The 20,614-nt window shown below is 40.4% G+C and overlaps 1 protein-coding gene across 2 annotated transcripts in view; it reads right to left on the reverse strand.

Annotated features, from left to right (window-relative positions):
- SLC22A24 (solute carrier family 22 member 24) overlaps window positions 1-20,614 on the reverse strand; it is a 64,282-nt gene that overhangs the window by 42,379 nt on the left and 1,289 nt on the right. For both annotated transcript variants that reach the window (NM_001136506.2, NM_173586.3), the window contains exon 2: window positions 12,347-12,450. In NM_001136506.2, the coding sequence (NP_001129978.2) occupies window positions 12,347-12,450 (104 nt within the window). The remainder of the gene's footprint in view (window positions 1-12,346; window positions 12,451-20,614) is intronic.

Genomic DNA, 20,614 nt, shown 5'->3' on the forward strand with positions numbered 1-20,614 from the left:
CGAGCTACTGTCTGAAAGATGGGTGCCCTGTAGACTCATTCCACCATATCTGACTAAAACATCAATGAGGATTATCCTTTCATTATGGTAACTGTTTAAGATTTTGGGCAGCTAACTCTCATGACTAATGTGTTAGGGCTAAGATGAAGCTGGTGTTTGATGAAGATAAACAGAGAAGGTTTATGTGCATTTAAACATTTATTTATTTATTTATTGAGATGGAGTCTTGCTCTGCCACCAGGCTGGAGTGCGGTGGTGCCATCTCGGCTCACTGCAACCTCCGCCTCCTGGGTTCAAGCCATTCTCCTGCCTCAGCCTCCCGAGTAGCTGGGACTACAGGCACCCATCACCATGCCCAGCTAGTTTTTTTATTTTGTATTTTTAGTAGAGACGGGGTTTCAGCATGTTGGCCAGGATGGTCTTGATCTCCTGACTTCGTGATCCGCTAGCCTCGGCCTCCCAAAGTGCTGGGATTACAGGCCTGAGCCACTGTGCCTGGCCTATTTTATTTCTTAAATTAACAAATAATAGTTGTACATATTCGTGGGATATATAGTGATGTTTCAATACTTATAATGTACAGTAATCAGAATGGGGTGATTAGCATACCTATCTTCTCAAAACACCTATCATTTCTTTGTGTTGGAAATATTAGATATCCTCCTTTGAGCTATTTGAAACTATATATATTATTGTTAACTAAAGTAATCCTACAGTGGTATAGAATACTATGTGCATATTTTGATTGGAGGAGGAAGGAGAAGAGGCAAAGAGAACATCTAGAATGAAAAAGTTGTGTCAGTCTTGATTTGGTTTAATGAACTTACATTAAGGTGAAAATGAATGCTAGTGAAAAAAGAATGAGGGCACAGTTGTATACTACAGTGCATAATGAATATTATGCACATAATGAATACAGGGTAACTTTGAAACCTGAAAAAGAAAGAAGTCAAGGCTGGAAAACTTAATTAATAAGGTAAGAGAATGCCAATGCCAGTCACAGTGATGTAAAATGGTGATCATATGGTGAGTTCCTGCTTTAGACAGAGTTTAATCTACTTGATATCACTGGTCTCTATCTACATTTCTTTTCTGAGTTACCCCTTCCACTTTCATAACTATGAAAATAATTATATGCTAATAAATTCTAAATTATTGTCTCTAGCTTTGACCTCTTCTGTGACCTGAATATCCATTATATACAACTGTCTACCTGAAACTCCATATGCATGTCTAATAGGCAACTCCGACCCAGAAAGTCCAAAGCAGACATCTTGACTTTCTTCCCCAGATTTACTTTCTTTCTAGTCTTCTCTCATCTTGTATAGTGGCATCAGAATTTACTTGTTTGCTTGGGCGAAAAGCCTATATCCCCTTGGATTCTTCTGTTTCTCTTCCTAGCAGTCCCCCAATAGTGGAAAATATTCTAAGCTTATCAGCAACTCTTATTGTCTCTACCTCTAAAACATTTTACAAATCCAACTCTATCTTACCATCTCCCTTGATATCCCTTTAATTTACATTCTTATGATCTTTCCTCTGGACTATTTCAACAGCCTTTTAAATGGTCCTTGCTACTACTCAGTGGAGGAGTAAGTCTTTAAAAAGGTTTTATTGTAAAATTCCCCTTAAAAATAAAGATCGAGAAATTTACTGAGAGTAACTTGGGTGAAGGCACCACCAGATAGGAGTCAAGGAAGAGATCTTTGAGGGGGTGAAATTTAAATTTGAGTAAACAGAAGGTGTGGGCTGAGCTATGTGCAGAAAAAAGAATATTATGGCCAGAGGGAACAGCAAGTATAAATGCTACATGATGGGAACCAGCTTGATGTCTTGAAGACTAGCAGAAAATGGAAGAAGGTAATAGATGAGGTGAGAAAGGGATACAGCAGCCAGATCTCAGAGCTGGCAAGATTTATGATAAGAAAACTTAGATTTTATTCTAAGTGCAGTGGAATACTGTTGAGTGTCATCTAGCTCCTGGGGGGAAGAAAGACAGAAAAAACTTTCAAGCTTGAGAAGGCACAGATAATGAGATAAATTCGATGTATGGATTAACTGTGTGATATTAACAGGAGTCAAACACTAGCAGACGGTTCTTTTTAAAGAAGTGAGCAACATATTCTTAAAGGTTTTGTAACAGAACAAGGTAGTTATTTGTTAGAAATGCAGAAGTTCCTTCATTTGATAGGAGGTTGAACTTGATAACTTCTAGAGTTCCTTTACTATCTTCCAAAATATCCCTTCACTATTTTAGATGTTAGGGTCATCTTACAAATCTGAGCCATGGTTATTGAAATAAATTATTTTACAACTGGTCTCCTGGCTGCCACTGTTAGCTCTTACTAACAGTCTTTTCAACTCAACTGTCACAAACCCTATCATTGTCATATCCCTTATTAAACATTTCAAATTAAAATGTGGCACATATACACCATGGAATACTATGCAGCCATAAAAAATGATGAGTTCATGTCCTTTGTAGGGACATGAATGAAAATGGAAATCATCATTCTCAGTAAACTATTGCAAGGACAAAAAACCAAACAACGCATGTTCTCACTCATAGGTGGGAATTGAACAATGAGAACACATGGACACAGGAAGGGGAACATCACACTCTGGGGACTGTTGCGGGGTGGGGGGAGTGGGGAGGGATAGCATTAGGAGATATACCTAATGCTAAATGACGAGTTAATGGGTGCAGCACACCAGCATGGCACATGTATACATATGTAACTAACCTGCACATTGTGCACATGTACCCTAAAACTTAAAGTATAATAATACAAAAATAAAAAAAAACAAAAAAACATTTCATTGAAGTTTATTTTTCATTAAAAAATTTTTTTATTATACTTTAAGTTCTGAGGTACCTGTGCAGAATGTGCAGTTTTGTTACATAGGTGTACAAGTGCCATGGTGGTTTGCTGCACCCATTAACTTGTCATCTACATTAGGTATTTCTCCTAATGCTACTCCTCCCCTAGCCCTGCACTCCACGACAGGCCCTGGTATGTGATGTTCCCCTCCCTGTGTCCATGTGTTCTCATTGTTCAACTCCCACTTCTGAGTGAGAACATGCAGTGTTTAGTTTTCTGTTCCTGTGTTAGTTTGCTGAGAATGATGGTTTCTAGCTTCATCCATGTCTCTGCAAAGGACATGAACTCATCCTTTTTTATGGCTGCATAGTATTCCATGGTGTATATGTGCTACATTTTCTTAATCCAGTCTGTCATTGGTGGACATTTGGGTTGGTTCCAAGTATTTGCTATTGTGAATAGTGCCGCGGTAAACATACGTGTGGATGTGTCTTTATAGTAGCATGATTTATAATCCTTTGGGTATATACCCAGTAGTAGGATTCTGGGTGAAATAATATTTCTGGTTCTAGATCCTTGAGGAATTGCCACACTGTCTTCCACAATGGCTGAACTAATTTACACTCCCACCAACAGTGTAAAAGTGTTCTTATTTCTCCACATCCTCTCCAGCATCTGTTGTTTCCTGACTTTTTAAATGATTGCCATTCTAACTGGTGTGAGATGGTATCTCATTGTGGTTTTGATTTGCATTTCTCTGATGACTGGTGATGATGAGCATTTTTTCCTATGTTGGTTGGCTGCATAAATGTCTTCTTTTGAGAAGTGTCTGTTCATATCCTTCGCCCACTTTTTGATGGGGTCGTTTGTTTTTTTTCTTGTAAATTTGTTTAAGTTCTTTTTAGATTCTGGATATTAGCCCTTTGTCAGATGGGTAGATTGCAAAAATTTTCTCCCATTCTGTATGTTTCCTGTTCACTCTAATGGTAGTTTCTTTTGCTGTGCAGAAGCTCTTTAGTTTAATTAGATCCCATTTGTCTATTTTGGCTTTTGTTGCCATTGCTTTGGTGTTGTAGATGTGAAGTCTTTGCCCATGCCTATGACCTGAATGGTATTGACTAGGTTTTCTTCTAGGATTTTTATGGTTTTAGGTCTTACTTTTAAGTCTTTAATCCATCTTGAATTAATTTTTGTATAAGGTGTAAGGAAGAGGTCCAGTTTCAATTTTCTGCATATGGCTAGCCTATTTTCCCAATACCATTCATTAAATAGGGAATCCTTTCCCCATTGCTTGTTTTTGTCAGGTTTGTCAAAGATCAGATAGTTGTAGATGTGTGGTGTTATTTCTGAGGCCCCTGTTCTGTTCCATTGGTCTATATATCTGTTTTGGAACCAGTACCATGCTGTTTTGATTACTGTAGCCTTGTAGCATAATTTGAAGTCAGGTAGCGTGTTGCCTCCAGCTTTATTCTTTTTGCTAAGGATTTTCTTAGCTATGTGGGGTCTTTTTTGGTTCCATATGAAGTTTAAAGCAGTTTTTTCCAATTCTGTGAAGAAAGTCAGTGGTAGCTTGATGGGGATAGCATTGAATGTATAAATTACTTTGGGAAGTATGGCAATTTTCACAGTATTGATTCTTTTTATCCATGAGCATGGAATGTTTTTCCATTTGTTGGTGTCCTCCCATTTCTTTGAGCAGTGGTTTTCCTTGAAGAGGTCCATCAGATCCCTTGTAAGTTGTATTCCTAGGTATTTTATTCTCTTAGTAGCAATTGTGAATGGGAGTTCACTCAGGATTTGGCTCTCAGTTTGTCTGTTATTGGTGTATAGGAATACTTGTGATTTTTAAAAATTATACTTTAAGTTCTAGGGTACATGTGCACAATGTGCAGGTTTGTTACATATGTATACACGTGCCATATTGGTTTGCTGCACCCATCAAGTCGTCATTTACATTAGGTATTTCTCCTAATGCTGTCACTGCCCCAGCCCCCCACTCCCTGACAGGCCCTGGTATGTGATGTTCCCCACCCTGTTTCCATGTGTTCTCATTGTTCAACTCCCACCTATAAGTGAGAACATGTGGTGTTTGGCTTTCGGTCCTTGTGATAGTTTGTTTAGAATGATGGTTTCCAGCTACATTCAAGTCCCTGCAAAGGACATGAACTCATCCTTTTTTATGGCTGCATAGTATTCCATGGTGTATATGTGCCACATTTTCTTAATCCAATCTGTCATTGGTGGACATTTGGGTTGGTTCCAAGTCTTTGCTATTGTGAATAGTGCCACAATAAACATACGTGTGCATGTGTCTTTAGAGTAGCATGATTTATAATCCTTTGGGTATATACCCAGGAATGTGATTGCTGGGTCAAATGGTACTTCTAGTTCTAGAACCTTGAGGAATCGCCACACTATCTTCCACAATGGTTGAATTAACTTACACTCCCACCAACAGTGTAAAAGTGTTCCTATTTCTCCACATCCTCTCCAGCACCTGTTGTTTCCTGACTTTTTAATCACTGCCATTCTAGCTGGTGTGAGATGGTATCTCATTGTGGTTTTGATTTGCATTTCTCTGATGACTAGTGATGATGAACATTTTTTCATATGTCTGTTTTCTGCATAAATGTCTTCTTTTGAGAAATGTTGTTCATATCCTTTGCCCACTTTTTGATTTTTTTTTGTAAATTTGTTTAAGTTCTTTTTAGATTCTGGATATTAGCTGTTTGTCAGATGGATAGACTACAAAAATTTTCTCCCATTCTGTAGGTTGCCTGTTCACTCTGATGATAGTTACTTTTGCTGTGCAGAAGCTCTTTAGTTTAATTAGTGTGGGCGGCAAGCCACCCAGGCACCGACGCAAGAGACTGAGAGCAGGAGCTGTTCCAGTATAATAAAGAAAATATATAAAATAAGAAGAGTTATACTAGATATAGATGATAGATATGATTATATATGAATATTATTAATCATTAGTTTGTAGCAATTACTCTTTATTCCAATATTATAATAATCATCACTCTACAATTATAACTTAGGAGAAACCAGGCCATAGAGAGATAGGAGCTGAAGGGTCACGGTGAGAAGTGACCAGAAGACAAGAGTGTGAGCCTTCTGTCATGCCTGGACAGGGCCACCAGAGGGCTCCTTGGTCTAGCAGTAACACCAGCGCCTGGGAAGACACCTGTTACCTAGCGGACCTTGGTCTAGTCGTAGCGTCAGTGCCTAGGAAAAGCACCCGCTACTTAGCAGACTGGGAAAGGGATTCTCCCTTTCCCTGGGGGAGTTAGAGAAGACTCTGCTCCACCACCTCTTGTGGAGGGCCTGACATCAGTCAGGCCCACCTGCAGTTATCCGGAGGCCTAACCATCTCCCTGTGATGCTGTGTTTCAGCGGTCATGCTCCTGGTCCGCTTTCATGTTCCATCCTGTACACCTGGCTCTGCCTTCTAGATAGCAGTAGCAGAATTAGTGAAAGTACTAAAAGTCTCTGAAATGCAGAAATAATGGCGTAAACTGTCTCCTCTCTCTCTCTCTGTCTGCCTCAGCTGCCAAATTGGGAAGGGCCCCCGTCCAGTGGACACATGACCCATGTGACCTTACCTATCATTGGAGATGGCTCACATTCCTTACCCTGCCCCCTTGTCTTGTATCTAATAAATAACAGCGCAGCCTGGCATTCAGGGCCACTACCAGTCTCCGCGTCTTGGTGGTAGTGGTCCCCCAGGCACAGCTGTCTTTTCTTTTACCTCTTTGTCTTGTGTCTTTATATCTACAATCTCTCATCTCTGTACATGGGGAGAAAAACCCATAGACCCTGTAGGGCTGGTCCCTACAAATTAGATCCCATTTGTCTATTTTGGCTTTTGTTGCCATTGTTTTGGTGTTTTAGTCATGAAGTCTTTGCTCATGCCTAAGTCCTGAATGGTACTGCCTAGGTTTTCTCTAGGGCTTTTATGGTGTTAGGTCTTACATTTAAGTCTTTAATCCATCTTGAGTTAATTTTTGTATAAGGTGTAAGGAAGGGATCCAGTTTTAGCTTTCTACGTATGGCTAGCCAGTTTTCCCAGCACCACTTATTAAAAAGGAAATCCTTTCCCCATTGCTTGTTTTTGTCAGATTTGTGAAAGATCAGATGGTCATAGACGTGTGGTGTTATTTCTGAAGCTTCTATTCTGTTCCATCGGTCTATATATCTGTTTTGGTACCCGTACCATGCTGTTTTGATTATTGTAGCCTTGTAGTATAGTTTGAAGTCAGGTAGCGTGTTGCCTCCAGCTTTGATCTTTTTGCTTAGGGTTGTCTTGGCTATGCGGTCTCTTTTTGGTTCCATGTGAATTTTAAAGTAGTTTTTTTTCCAATTCTGTGAAGAAAGACATTGGTAGCTAGATGGGGATGGCATTGAATCTATAAATTACCTTGGACAGTAGGACCATTTTCATGATATTGATTCTTCCTATCCATGACCATGGAATGTTCTTCCACTTGCTTGTGTCCTCTTTTATTTTGTTGAGCAGTGGTTTGTAGTTTTCCTTGAGGAGGTTCTTCACATCCCTTGTAAGTTGGATTCCTAGGTATTTTATTCTCTTTGTAGTAACTGTGGATGGGAGTTCACTCATGATTTGGCTCTCTGTTTGTCTGTTATTGGTGTGTAGCAATGCTTGTGATTTTTCCACATTAATTTTTTATCCTGAGACTTTGCTAAAGTTGCTTATCAGCTTAAGGAGATTTTGGCTGAGATGATGGGTTTTCTAAGTATACAATAATTTCATCTGCAAACAGAGACAATTTGATTTCCCCTTTTTCTAACTGAACACCCTTTATTTCTTTCTCTTGCCTGATTGCCGTGGCCAGAACTTCCAACACTATGTTGAATAGGAGTGGTGAGAGAGGGCATCCTTGTCTTGTGCTGGTTTTCAAAGAGAATGCTTCCAGTTTTTGCCCATTCAGTATGATATTGGCTTTGGGTTTGTCATAACTAACTCTTATTATTTTGAGATACGTTCCATCTATACCTAGTTTATTGAGAGTTTTTAGCATGAAGTGCTGTTGAATTTTGTTGAAGGTCTTTTCTGCATCTATTGAGATAATCATGTGGTTTTTGTCATTGGTTCTGTTTATGTGATGGATTACGTTTATTGATTTGCATATGTTGAACCAGCCTTGCATCCCAGGGATGAAGCCCACTTGATTATGGTGGATAAGCTTTTTGATGTGCTGCTGGATTCGGTTTGCTAATATTTTATTGAGGATTTTCACATCAATGTTCATCAGGGATGTTGGTCAAAAATTCTCTTTTTCTTGTGTCTCTGTCAGGCTTTGCTATCATGATGATGCTGGTCTCATAAAATGAATTAGGGAGGATTCTCTCTTTTTCTATTAATTGGAATAGTTTCAGAAGGAATGGTACCTACTCCTGTTTGTACCTATGGCAGAATTCGGCTGTGAATCTGTCTGGTCCTGGACTTTTTTTGATTGGTGGGCTGTTAATTATTGCCTCAATTTCAGAGCCCATTATTGTTCTATTCAGAGATTCAACTTCTTCCTGGTTTAGTCTTGGGAGGGTGTATTTGTCCAGGAATTTATCAATTTCTTCTAGATTTTCTAGTTTATTTGTATAGAGGTGTTTATAGTGTTCTCTGATGGTAGTTTGTATTTCTGTGGGATCAGTGGTGCTGGATATCCTTGTTAACCTTCTGTCTCATTGATCTGTCTAATATTGACAGTGGGGTGTTAAAGTCTCTCATTATTATTGTGTGGTAGTCTAAGTCTTTTTGTAGGTCTTTAAGAACTTGCTTTATGAATCTGGGTGGTCCTGTATTGGGTGTATATATATTTAGGATAGTTAGCTTTTCTTGTTGAATTGATCCCTTTACCATTATATAGTGGCCTTCTTTGTCTCTTTTGATCTTTGTTGGTTTAAAGTCTGTTTTATCAGATACTAGGATTGCAACCCCTGCTTTTTTTTGCTTTCCATTTGCTTGGTAGATCTTCCTCCCTCCCTGTATTTTGAGCCTATACACGTCTTTGTATGTGAGCTGGGTTTCCTGAGTATAGCACACCGATAAAGAGTCTTGACTCTTTATCCAATTTGCCAGTCTGTGTCTTTTGATTGGGGCATTTAGCCCAGTTACATTTAAGGTTAATATTATTATGTTTGAATTCGAGCCTGTCATTATGATGTTAGCTGGTTATTTTGCCTGTTAATTGAGGCAGTGTCTTCATAGTGTCAATGGTCTTTACAATTTGGTATGTTTTTGCAGTGGCTGGTACTGGTTGTTCCTTTCCATGTTTAGTGCTTCCTTCAGGAACTCTTGTAAGGCAGGCCTGGTGGTGACAAAATCTCTCAGCATTTGCTTGTCTTTAAAGGATTTTTATTTCTCCTTCACTTATGAAGCTTAGTTTGGCGGGACGTGAAATTCTGGGTTGAAAATTCTTTTTTTAAGAATGTTGAATATTGGCCCCCAATCTTTTCTGGCTTGTAGGGTTTCTGCTGAGAGAAGTGCTATTAGTCTGATGGGCTTCCCTTAGTGGGTAACCCCACCTTCATCTCTGGCTGCCCTTAATATTTTTTGTCTTCGTTTCTACCTTGGTGAATCTGACAATTACATGTCTTGGGCTTGCTCTTCTCAAGGAGTATCTTTGTAGTGTTCTCTGTATTTCCTGGATTTGAATGTTGGCCTGCCTATCTAGGTTAGGGAAGCTCTCCTGGATAACATCCTGAAGAGTATCTTCTAACTTGGTTCCATTTTCCCTGTCACTTTCAGGTACACCAATCAATCATATATTTGGTCTTTTCACTTAGTCCCATATTTCTTGACAGCTTTGTTCATTTCTTTTCACTCTTTTTTCTCTAATCTTGTCTTCTCACTTTATTTCATTCATTTCATCTTCAATCATTGATATCCATTCTTCCACTTGATCCAATAGGCTATTTTAGCTTGTGCATGCATCACAAAGTTCTCATGCTGTGGTTTTCAGCTCCATCCAGTCCTTTAAGGTCTTTTCTACACTGTTTATTTTATTTAGCCATTCGTCTAACCTTTTTTCAAGGTTTTTAGCTTCCTTGAAATGGGTTAGAACATGCTTCTTTAGCTTGGAGAAGTTTGTTATTACCAACCTTCTGAAGCCTACTTCTGTCAACTTGTCAAACTCATTCTTCATCCAGTTTTTTTCCCTTGCTGGCAAGCAGCTGTGAACCTTTGGAGGAGAAGAGGCACTCTGGTTTTTAGAATTTTCCACTTTTCTGCTCTGGTTTCTCCTCATCTTTGTGGTTTTATCTACCTTTGGTCTTTGATGTTGGTGACCTACAGATGGGGTTTTGGTGTAGAAGTCCTTTTTGTTGATGGTGATGCTATTCCTTTCTGTTTGTTAGTTTTCATTCTAACAGTCAGGTCCTTCAGCTGCAGGTCTGTTGGAGTTTGCTGGAGGTCCACTCCCGACACTCTTTGCTTGGGTATCACTAGCAGAAGCTGCAGAACAGCAAATATTGCAGAACAGCAAATATTGCTGCCTGATCCCTCCTCTGGAAGCTTCTTCCCAGAGGAGCACCCACCTGTATGAGGTGTCTGTCGGCCCCTACTGGGAAGTGTCTTCCAGTCAGGCTACATGGGGGCCAGGGACCCACTTGAGGAGGCAGCCTGTCTTTTCTCAGAGCTCGAATGCCATGCTGAGAGAACCACTGGTCTCTTCAGAGCTGTCAGACAGGGATGTTTAAGTCTGCAGAAGCTGTCTGCTGCCTTTTGTTCAGCTATGCCCTGCCCCCAGAGGTGGAATCTAGAGAGGCAGTAGTCCTTACGGAGCTACGGTGGGCTCTGCCCAGTTCGAACTTCCCAGCCACTTTGTTTACACTGTGAGCTACTCAAGCCTCAGCAATGGTGGATGCCCCTCCCCCTGTCAAGCTGCAGTATCGCAGGTCGATCTCAGACTGGTGCACTAGCAGTGAGCAAGGCTCAGTGGGCATGGGACCCACCGAGCCAGGCATGCGAGGGAATCTCCTGATCTGCAGGTTGCCAAGACTGTGGGAAAAGTGCAGTATTTGGTCAGGAGTGTACTGTTTCTCCAGGTGCAGTCTGTCACACCTTCCCTTGGCTAGGAAAGGGAAATCCCCAATCCCTTGCACTTCCTGGGTGAGGCGGCACCCCACCCTGCTTCAGCTTACCCTCAATGGGTTGCACCCACTGTCCAACCAGTCCCAATGAGATGAACCAGGTACCTCAGCTGGAAATGTAGAAATCACCCATCTTCTGTGTTGATCTCACTGGGAGCTGCAGACCGGAGCTATTCCTATTCAGCCATCTTGGAAGTGATCCCAGGTCACAATTTTTAAATAAAGACTGTCAGATGACATTGAGCATCTAAACTCTCCTCAGTGTCCTTGTGGGTGACATGCTTCAGTGACAGCCATGGTTGAGTGCCTCCTTCAGAAGGAGCTCTGCCAGGACAAAGGAATCCCCAAACATCTCATCCTCAAGCAAAGTCATCCTAGGTTCTTTTTTTTTCTTTTTTCTTTTTTTTCAGACAGTGTCTCGCTTTGTTGCCCAGGCCAGAGTACAGTGGCATGATCTCAGCTCACTGCAACCTCTGCCTTCTGGGTTCAGGTGATTCTCACACCTCAGCCTCCTGAATAGCTGGGAGCTATATAGGTGCCAGCCACCATGCCAGGCTAATTTTTGTATTTTTAGTAGAGATGGGGTTTCACAGTATTGGCCAGGCTGGTCTCAAACTCCTTACCCCAAGTGATTCACCCACCTTGGCCTCCCAAAGTGTTGGTATTATGGGCGTGAGCCACCGTGCCCACTCCATTCTAGGTTCTTAATTTATTTATATGAATATACCACAATCTATTAGAGTAGATTAGTAGATAAATACAATCTATTTTGTATAACCCTTATGTGGTTATACAAATGACATTTTAAAATTATTTCACAAGGATCAGCATCCAGGTTAGAGGTGCAATGTCTTCCTATCCTGTGAGTGCCACAGTGCTGCACAACCATCAGATTTTATAATGATGACTACCCACTGCACATGAGCACTTATGCTGCAGGTATGAAATGATGGCCAGTCTAAAAGTGCCTCAATAATTTCTCTCACAGGGTCTAGGTGGTTTAGAACATTGTCAAGGCCAATAACGCTGTTTCACAAATTTGCACTTTCAGACCCGAAGCACCTCCTGCCTCAAACACCCTTCCTCTCCCTGTATTGAACTAACTCCTACAAGTAAACCTCAAATCCTGTAATCTACTCTAAAAATCCCTTCCTGAAACTTCTTTGAATCTGATTTGGATGTCTTTTTCTGTCCTCTTTTATTCAGTACAATGAACAGACTTTTAATACCCAACTATCATTTCTAATTCAAATAAGCATTCTTAATCAGCTGTAGCTTCCTGGAGTCAGAAAGAGAGATCAGCACATAGCACAATGCAAAGTATACAGTAAGAGCTCAGTAAATATTTCTAAAATAAAGGAATGAATATATCATCTGATAAACAGCCCCAAAGAAAGTGAGATGACACTCACCTGTCTGAAAGATGGCCATATATTAGACCTCCCAGAAGTGACCCAGCCATAAATAGGGATTGAACCATTGATTTTAGTGACTGAGATTCACATACCAGGTCCCACTGGAAGAGAAAGAAAGCAGTACAGCAGAGCTTGAGAAGAGTTTCAACTCTTTAGTAGAAACTGACTCCAAACTCCTACATATGGTGTACACAATCCTCTGCTAGGCAGGTCCTGCCTCCCTCTCCAGCTTCATCTGCAGGTACTCTTTTCTGGTAGCTCATATTCTAAAAATACTAAACTTATTTCAACTTTTCAAATGCATCTGTCTCTCTCTCACCTCCTAACCTTCCAAAATATATATCCACATGTCTACAAGTCTTTATTCCTTTTCCTCTCGGACCACTAAGTTCCTTTAATGCATTACCTTATACACATTTTTTGGGTATTATAATTAAAAGCACATAAAAACAATTAAAGACTTCAGGTACAAAAATTTTAAAAATATATAAAACCCCCACAATCTTTCTAAGAAGGCTTCCCTCATCATGTAGGTAACATATGAGCTCTACCTTTGACTTCACTTAGCAGTCTATAATTCAACTACTACAGTAAGTCTCATCTTTGTCCACAGATTGAATCACCTGAACAGCTTTAAAAATACCGATGCCTAGATCCTGTGCCCAGAGGTTCTGATTTACTTACTCTGGGTATCAGTTTTTTAAGTATTGAGAATCACTCAAAACTGGGGCGACCTAGCATAACATTTGCCTAACAGCATTCCAAATACTTTACAAATTATAGGTCTTTCTCCCTAGATTAAATGACATAGTAACAGGTTTATGTTTAGTTTGTTTAATTAATTCGCTTAATATTAGGTTGGTGCAAATGTAATTGTGGTTTTTGCATTGTTGGAATTTGCCATTTGATATTGGAATACATTCTTAAATAATGTGGTTATGTTATCAGTCATTGCAATGGACATTTCTCGCTTTATTTTTTTGCTAATGACTTATTACTTGCTGTTTATTTTATGTTTATTTTTGACTATGGAAATGATGTTAGACAAAAAGCAAAACCGAGTGATTTTCTTATTTGAGTTCAAAATGGGCTGTAAAGCAGTGGAGACAACTTGCAACATCAACAATGCATTTGACCCAGAAACTGCTAATGAACATACAGTGCAGTGGTGGTTCAAGAAGTTTTGCAAAGGAGACGAGAGCCTTGAAGATGAGGAGTGTAGTGGCTGGCCATCGGAAGTCAACAATGACCAGTTGAGAGCAATCATCGAAGCTGATCCTCTTACAACTACGCAAGAAGTTGCCAAAGAACTCAGCGTTGACCATTCTACAGTCATTTGGCATTTGGGACAAATTGGAAAGGTGAAAAAGCTCGATAAGTGGGTGCCTCATGAGCTGACTGCAAATAGAAAACATCATTGTTTTGAAGTGTCATCTTATTCTACACAACAACAAACCATTCCTCAATCAGATTGTAATGTGTGATGAAAAGTAGATTTTATATGACAACTGGCAATGAACAGCTCAGTGACTGGATTGAGAAGCAGCTCCAAAGCACTTTCCAAGGTGAAACTTGCACGAAAAAAAGGTCATGGTCACTGTTTGGTTGTCTGTCGCTGGTCTGATCCACTACAGCTTTCTGAATCCCAGTGAAACCATTACATCTGAGAAGTATGCTCAGCACTTCGATGAGATGCACTGAAAACTGCAACACCTGCAACTGGCACTGGTCAATAAAAAGGGCCCAATTCTTCTCCATGACAACATCCAACAGCACATCATACAACCAATGCTTCAAAAGTTGAACAAATTCGGCTACGAAGTTGTGCCTTATCCACCATATTCACCTGACCTCTTGCCAACTGACTCCCACTTCTTCAAACATCTCAACAACTGTTTTGAGGCTGATTTGAGTAATAATAAAACTCCGGTCTCCTGCACAGCTGGCTCTGCATGAATTATTCTTTCTTGATTGCAATTCCCCTGTCTTGATGAATATGCTCTGTCTAGGCAGTGGACAAGGTGTCTCACCCTTGGGTGGTTGCAAATTTGGGAGCTCATCTGGGATTGCCCTTGTGGCTACCTGCCCATGGTTCAGTGGCCCCCTCTTCAGCAATGGATCCAGAAGCCAGCCCAAGTGGTCGCCTAGTTCTCTTGGACTGGTGGCTGACTCTGGTACTCTCTCTACTGGTGGGGAGCTGCCAATCCAATGTACATGGGTTTAATTGCAATGGAGACATAGTCATGGGGAGATGTCCCTTAACTGTAGCTCTATCAGAGGGTGTCTGTCTGTAGCCTCAATGTGGTGTGTCTGCATTGGTGAGTATCCTAGACACTGCCAACACCTCCTTCCTTCTCTCGATGGATTCTGTAGCCCTGTGGTGGGATGTCTGTAGCCCCATTGCAGGGTGTCTGTTTGTAGCTCCACCACAGGGTGTCTGTGTCTGTAGCTCCATTGCAGGGTGTCTGTTTGGCTCCTGAGGAGGTCTCGGTTGGTTCTTTCTAACTAGTAGGAAGAGTCCTGGTTTGGGAGGCTTCTCCTTAATCAGGAAGATTTCAAGGAGGTTTCTCAGATGGAGAATAGAAGGATAGTTTGGAAGGGATAATCTTGAAGTTCTTGGCTAGGGATCTGATTTGGAAGGCCTGCTGTCCATCTCATCTTTGTGTGTGTTTGTATATGTGAAAGGGATCTCACAAGGGGTTGTTGGTGGAAGTCCAGTAGCCCTACCTCAGAGAACCTTCCTTATTTGTCTGGTTATATTTGATGACCCTAAAAAAGGCTCAACAGGCCTGTCTCTCATGGTAACTATCTGCTCTTTGCCTTGCCCAGAGATCCCATTGTGAATTACATTTGCAGGTTATCTCTCCCCACCTGGAGTGGATCAAAGGCAACAGGGACCAACAGGAAAAATGTTTGAGCTTTGCCAGGCTGATATTGGGTACTGAATGAGGTGACTAATGTCTGTTTTGTATGTGTATTTTGCTGGAATGGAAAATGTTAATTCAGTTACCCATGCAGCCCATTGGGCAGCATCTTGCAAATTAAGAATCTTGTCTATGTTTCCATAAAACAGGAAAGTGTGATTTCCTCTTTTAAAGTGGCATGAACCCCACAGCTATAGCACAAGTGAGCAGGATCATCAGAAGCCACTCCATTCTTCTGGAAGCTGCAGAGAAAGGGAAACTGGAAACCTGATATACCAGCAAAAAGGGTAAGAAATTCTTACTGGCCAAGTTTCTGGTCTCTCTCTGTCTTTCTCTGTCTTGGTAAATAGTAAACTATCTGTCTCATCTGCAAGGGTTTGATTAATAAAAAAAGGATTTATGAGACTAATCTTAGGCTGTAGCATATCTGGTATAGTTTGTGCTAAGAATTTGTCTTTCTGTGTTCTGTAATGGAGAGAGGGGTATCAACAGGATAGAACGTGGGTTTAGGACCTCTATAAGCCTGCCTTTCAAGCCAGCTCAGCAGGCTGGTCAGTTACAAACTTTGCTATGGATCCCTGAAGCCAATACTGTATGAGATTTCTATGTCTTGTTTTGTGTCCTTAAGAGCTCAACCTTGTGACCATGCAGGGATTCTTTCTTTTTGTTTCCACCATCCAGAGGACAGAAATTTTGGGGTTCATGTCATAGTCCTACAATTTTTTCCTGACCAGTTAAAGCTTCGCAAGCTTGAAATTGGCTTCTGAGGCCGGGTACGTGGTGGCTTACACCTGTAATCCCAGCACTTTTGGAGGCCGAGGCAGGCAGATCATAAGGTCAGGAGATCAAGACCATCCTGGCTAACACGGTGAAACCCTGTCTCTACTAAAAATAGAAAAAATTAGCCGGGTGTGGTGGCGGGCACCTGTAGTCCCAGCTACTCGGGAGGCTGAGGCAGGAGAATGGCATGAACCTGGGAGGTGGAGCTTGCAGTGAGCCAAGATCATGCCACTGCACTCCAGTCTGGGCAACAGAGCAAGACTCTGTCTCAAAAAAAAAAAAAAAAAAAAAAAAAAAAGAAATTGGCTTCTGTACTCTCCTTCTGGGAAAAGCAATAGAAACTGCTCAATGCTGTATAGTTCAATAGCTAAGGCTTTATCTTTTGATAATGGTGGCCTGGGTTCAATTGTTGGCTTCTGGAATGATTCCTTCCTGGTTTATTTGTGTAACTTTGCCATTTAATAAGGTTTTTTCCCCCCCATGGATAGCTTTTGATTTCCTCTGTTGAATTTTCCTTTCTCTGAACTACCTTGTAGAGATTCTAAATCTTGTAAAAACAAACTGCCTACCATGTCTTTAAAGCACCTAGGAGGTTACCTTTGGTAAAGTTTAGAAATATTGGCTGCTTGGGTAATAAGAGATCTGAAAGGATTTTTTAAAAGAGCACTGTGGTTAAAAGTCAGCTTAATTAAAAGTGGATAAGCAAGTTATAGGCATATTTAAAAGGCCTTTATGTTTTTCTCTTCTTGGAACTTGTTTTTCTGGAAAAAGCTTTTTTCTTCTCAGTCAACTGAAATATTTTTCTCCATTTTTTTTTGTCTTGCCACTCTTAATGCACACACGAGGGGCCCTAAGATAATTTCTGGTAGCCTGGAACTCCTTGGGAAAAACAGAAGGTGCCACAGACACCGTTTCGGAAGAAAGCTCTGTTTTCCTCATGAAACCCCAGGAATTAAAAGCGGATAGATCCCTCTCAAAATGCTGTGTTCTGTTTCGCATTGTGTCATCTGACAGTTTTGAGTTTTAGGGGTATCAGAAATTACTTTTCATTATGAAAGAGCTTGGTGTGTAATAACTAGGTAGGAAATATACCTTAGGGGATGGCTAATAGTAGTTATGGAGGAACACTTGACTCTTTGCACACCTGGATCAGAAAAGCATGCTCTTGGCTACCTGGAAGATATGGAAACATCCCCAACCCCCAATGAGAAATGAGACTCTCATGGGGGATGGTCTAATTATAAGATGGGCTGATTGTCTGGGTTGCCTTGCAAGGAAATGCACAGTTGGTAAAAGCACCACACTGACTTCTCCCAAAGTATTTCCCTCCTTTTAGGGATCCGATCCAGGATCCAGTATAAAATGGCACCCCTAATTTTGGGGATCTGTCTTTGCCTTCAGCTGTGATTAGGCCCTAGAAATGCATGCTCTCCTGGCCCTTTTCCTCCAAGGGCTCTACCTGGAAGCCAGTAATCCAATTAAGAAACTGGCAAATGAAAAATCTTACAAGTACTGAATATTCTCTTTATCTGTATTTATATGTTTTTTTTTGTGTGTGATATTTATATGTAAAAGAGCTCTGATTAATTAGCTTAGAAAAATAAGAGCTTAATATTTTGTCAGAAAAATAGAAACTTTAATGACTTTTTGTTCACATGTCTTTAGTAATCTTTTGGAAATAGAGACAGTTTTTTTGTTTTTTTGTTTTTTTTTTTTGTTTTTTTTTTTTGAGACGGGGTCTTGCTCTGTCACCAGGCTGGAGTGCAGTGGCACAATCTCAGCTCATTGCAACTGCTGCCTCCTGGATTCAAGCAATTCTCCTGCCTCACCCTCCTGAGTAGCTGGGACTACAGGCACACACCACCATGCCCAGCTAATTTTTGTATTTTTAGTAGAGATGAGGTTTCACCATGTTGGCCAGGATGGTCTCAATCTCTTGACCTCATGATCTGCCCACCTCGGCCTCCCAAAGTGCTGGGACTACAGGCGTGAGCCACCACATCTGGGCATAAAGACAGTTTTAAAGATTATCGGTAAAACAAAGTGTCTTGAAAATATAGACATTTGGTCTAAATTAAGGCCAGATATCAGATCTGCTAAATGCCTTAAGGTCAAACTGTTTCCTTGACCTTTGAAAATCATTCAGTTTACCTACTTTGGAGCATTAGATTATAGATGAGGCTTGGGGACACATGAAGAGCCTCGCCCTTAGCTATGCTGAAAAGAATTAGATCTTATCTTCACTTCTATCTGATGTCCTAGGCTTCACCCCAGTACATAATTAAAATTGCTTACTTATCAGGTTTTTCACTAAAAAACAAAAGTAGCAAAGAGTTAACATTGGAATATGAAATTGAGATTACTGGAGAAACAGTTTGACATACAAGGTGCGTAGGGAATGTGTTTTTGGTAAAAGTTTATAAGAAGGCATAAGAATATGGCTTTTGTTAAAGGGAATGTAATTTTTTCTGGTTTAGAGGGGGTTTTAAAGACTGTCTTAAACTAAGAGAGAATAAGACAAAACTGAAAGTTTAAGCAAAGTGAAAAGGTTTTGTAAAGCGTTAATCTTATAAAAAATTCTGTGGGTATACACAAGTTGGCTAAGATGTAAAAGAAATTATTTAGCTTTTTACAATAGGTTAGAACACTAATCATACTGATGTGGGGCCAGAATCTGGGCCCATGTGTCCAAATAACAGGGTTTTCTTAGAAAATTGATGTGCTGTTTGATTGAAAATTGTAAAGCGTTCTAAAAAGTTTATAAAAATCTTATCTTATGGTCAAACTAATTAAAACTGGATAGAGATATAAAATTTTATTTTAAAAAACAAACTTTAACATTAAAGATGCACTAATGCAAACATGAAATTTGGTTTTCTCTTTTGAAGACAATTTTTATGTAATGTTAAAAGATAATGAAAGGGTTTTGTTTTCTCCTTTGGGTAAACGGCAGGAAATAAAAGGAGGAGAGGGAGGAGACAGATTTAGTTGGCCTCATGCTATCTTCGTTGGGTTTTGTTTGGAAAGCTAACCCCCCTCCATCGGAGTAAAGGATACAATTGGAGAAACTGGTCATTTTTCCAAGGCTTTGACTGGAATGGCATGCTTCTTGTAAAGAATCAAAGTTGACTTATGGAACCAATTAAAACCCACTGGGGAATCTGGCCTCATACCTTGTCCAGACAGAGTCCCTGTACAAGGTTCCTGACCTGTGTTAAGTAAAGAATGTCACTTTCTAACAGGCCCAGGAACCCCAAGTTATCTTGAGGAGAGGACTTTGTTCAACTCATAGGTATCTGAGGGTTCAAACCCATGGCTGGGCTCGGCTTTTAAAAAGCCTTATCTGAGATTCTTCATGGAACAGAGTTTCATCAAAGCCAATTAAAAAAGCCTAAGTGAAAAATAATTATTCTTGCTGCACTTTATGCAAATAATCAGGCCAAGTACAGTGAAACTAAAGTTTGTTTTGTAAACTGTAAGTCAGTTCTATCATAATTTGTTTTTAATAAAAATAGGGACTGGAGAGAGAAAAATTATGCTTCAAAAGAAAAACTATATTACACTTTTGTTAGCTGTTCTTGATGTTTTTTTTTCTGCAGGTTAGACTAAATTCTAAATTATTTGTGAGTTAGAAGGCCCCAGACAAATGCTTTCCAATCTTTGCTTTTAAAATTGGGAATTGTACTCCTCATCCTAGGACTCATTATTTACCTTATAGCATGCTCTTCATTTAAATACTGTACTAAAACTATAGATGAGAGTACTAATATTTTTGCCACACAAGCCTTGGAAGCCCATCCAGGCCTGCATGAATACACTCAGTAGCAAAGCAGTTCCACTCTTCTCACCTTGGGGTTCACTCCCATTCCCATTATGTCCCCTGTCAGCAGGAAGAAGCTGGAGTGATAGATGGCCTTTTCCCGTCTTCATAGCCTACATCTTAAGATTAAGGTGTTATAAAACCCAAAGGGAGGGATTGAAACTGCCTTTGCAAAATTATGACTGAGACCGTGAAAGAGATCTAACTTAACCGACTCCATCTTGCTTCTGACCTCCAAGCTGTCCTTGTGCATTCCTGGGCATAGGCTGAACTAACTTTGGGAGAAACTTAGTTTGTAGTTTATAGTTTGAACAAAGACAGCCTTTCCCAAAGCAGACCTCCTTCTTGCCTGGGGACTAGATTAACGTTAGCCACAGGATTAGAAATTATCATTTAGTAGTCACACAGCTGGAGGCTACAAGATTCTGACCCTCCCTAAACTGCTCCTAAGATCAGTGCTTGAGATATTTTGCAGATCCCGCACTTGATGGATCAGCTGTCACCACCCAGATCGATAAACTGGCTCATCTGATCTTGTGACCCCCACTTAGGAAGTGACTCAGCACAAGAAGGCAGCTTTGACTCCCTATGATTTCAGCCCTGATCAGTCAGCACTCTTGGCTCACTGGCTGCCCCCCAACCACCAAGTTATCCTTAAAAACTCTGCTCCCCGAATGCTCAGGGAGACTAATTTGAGTAGTAATAAAACTCTGGCCTCCCTCAAAAAACAAAAAGCAAAAA

This window comes from Homo sapiens, chromosome 11 (genome assembly GCF_000001405.40).
Source record: "Homo sapiens chromosome 11, GRCh38.p14 Primary Assembly".
Taxonomy (NCBI): domain Eukaryota; kingdom Metazoa; phylum Chordata; class Mammalia; order Primates; family Hominidae; genus Homo; species Homo sapiens.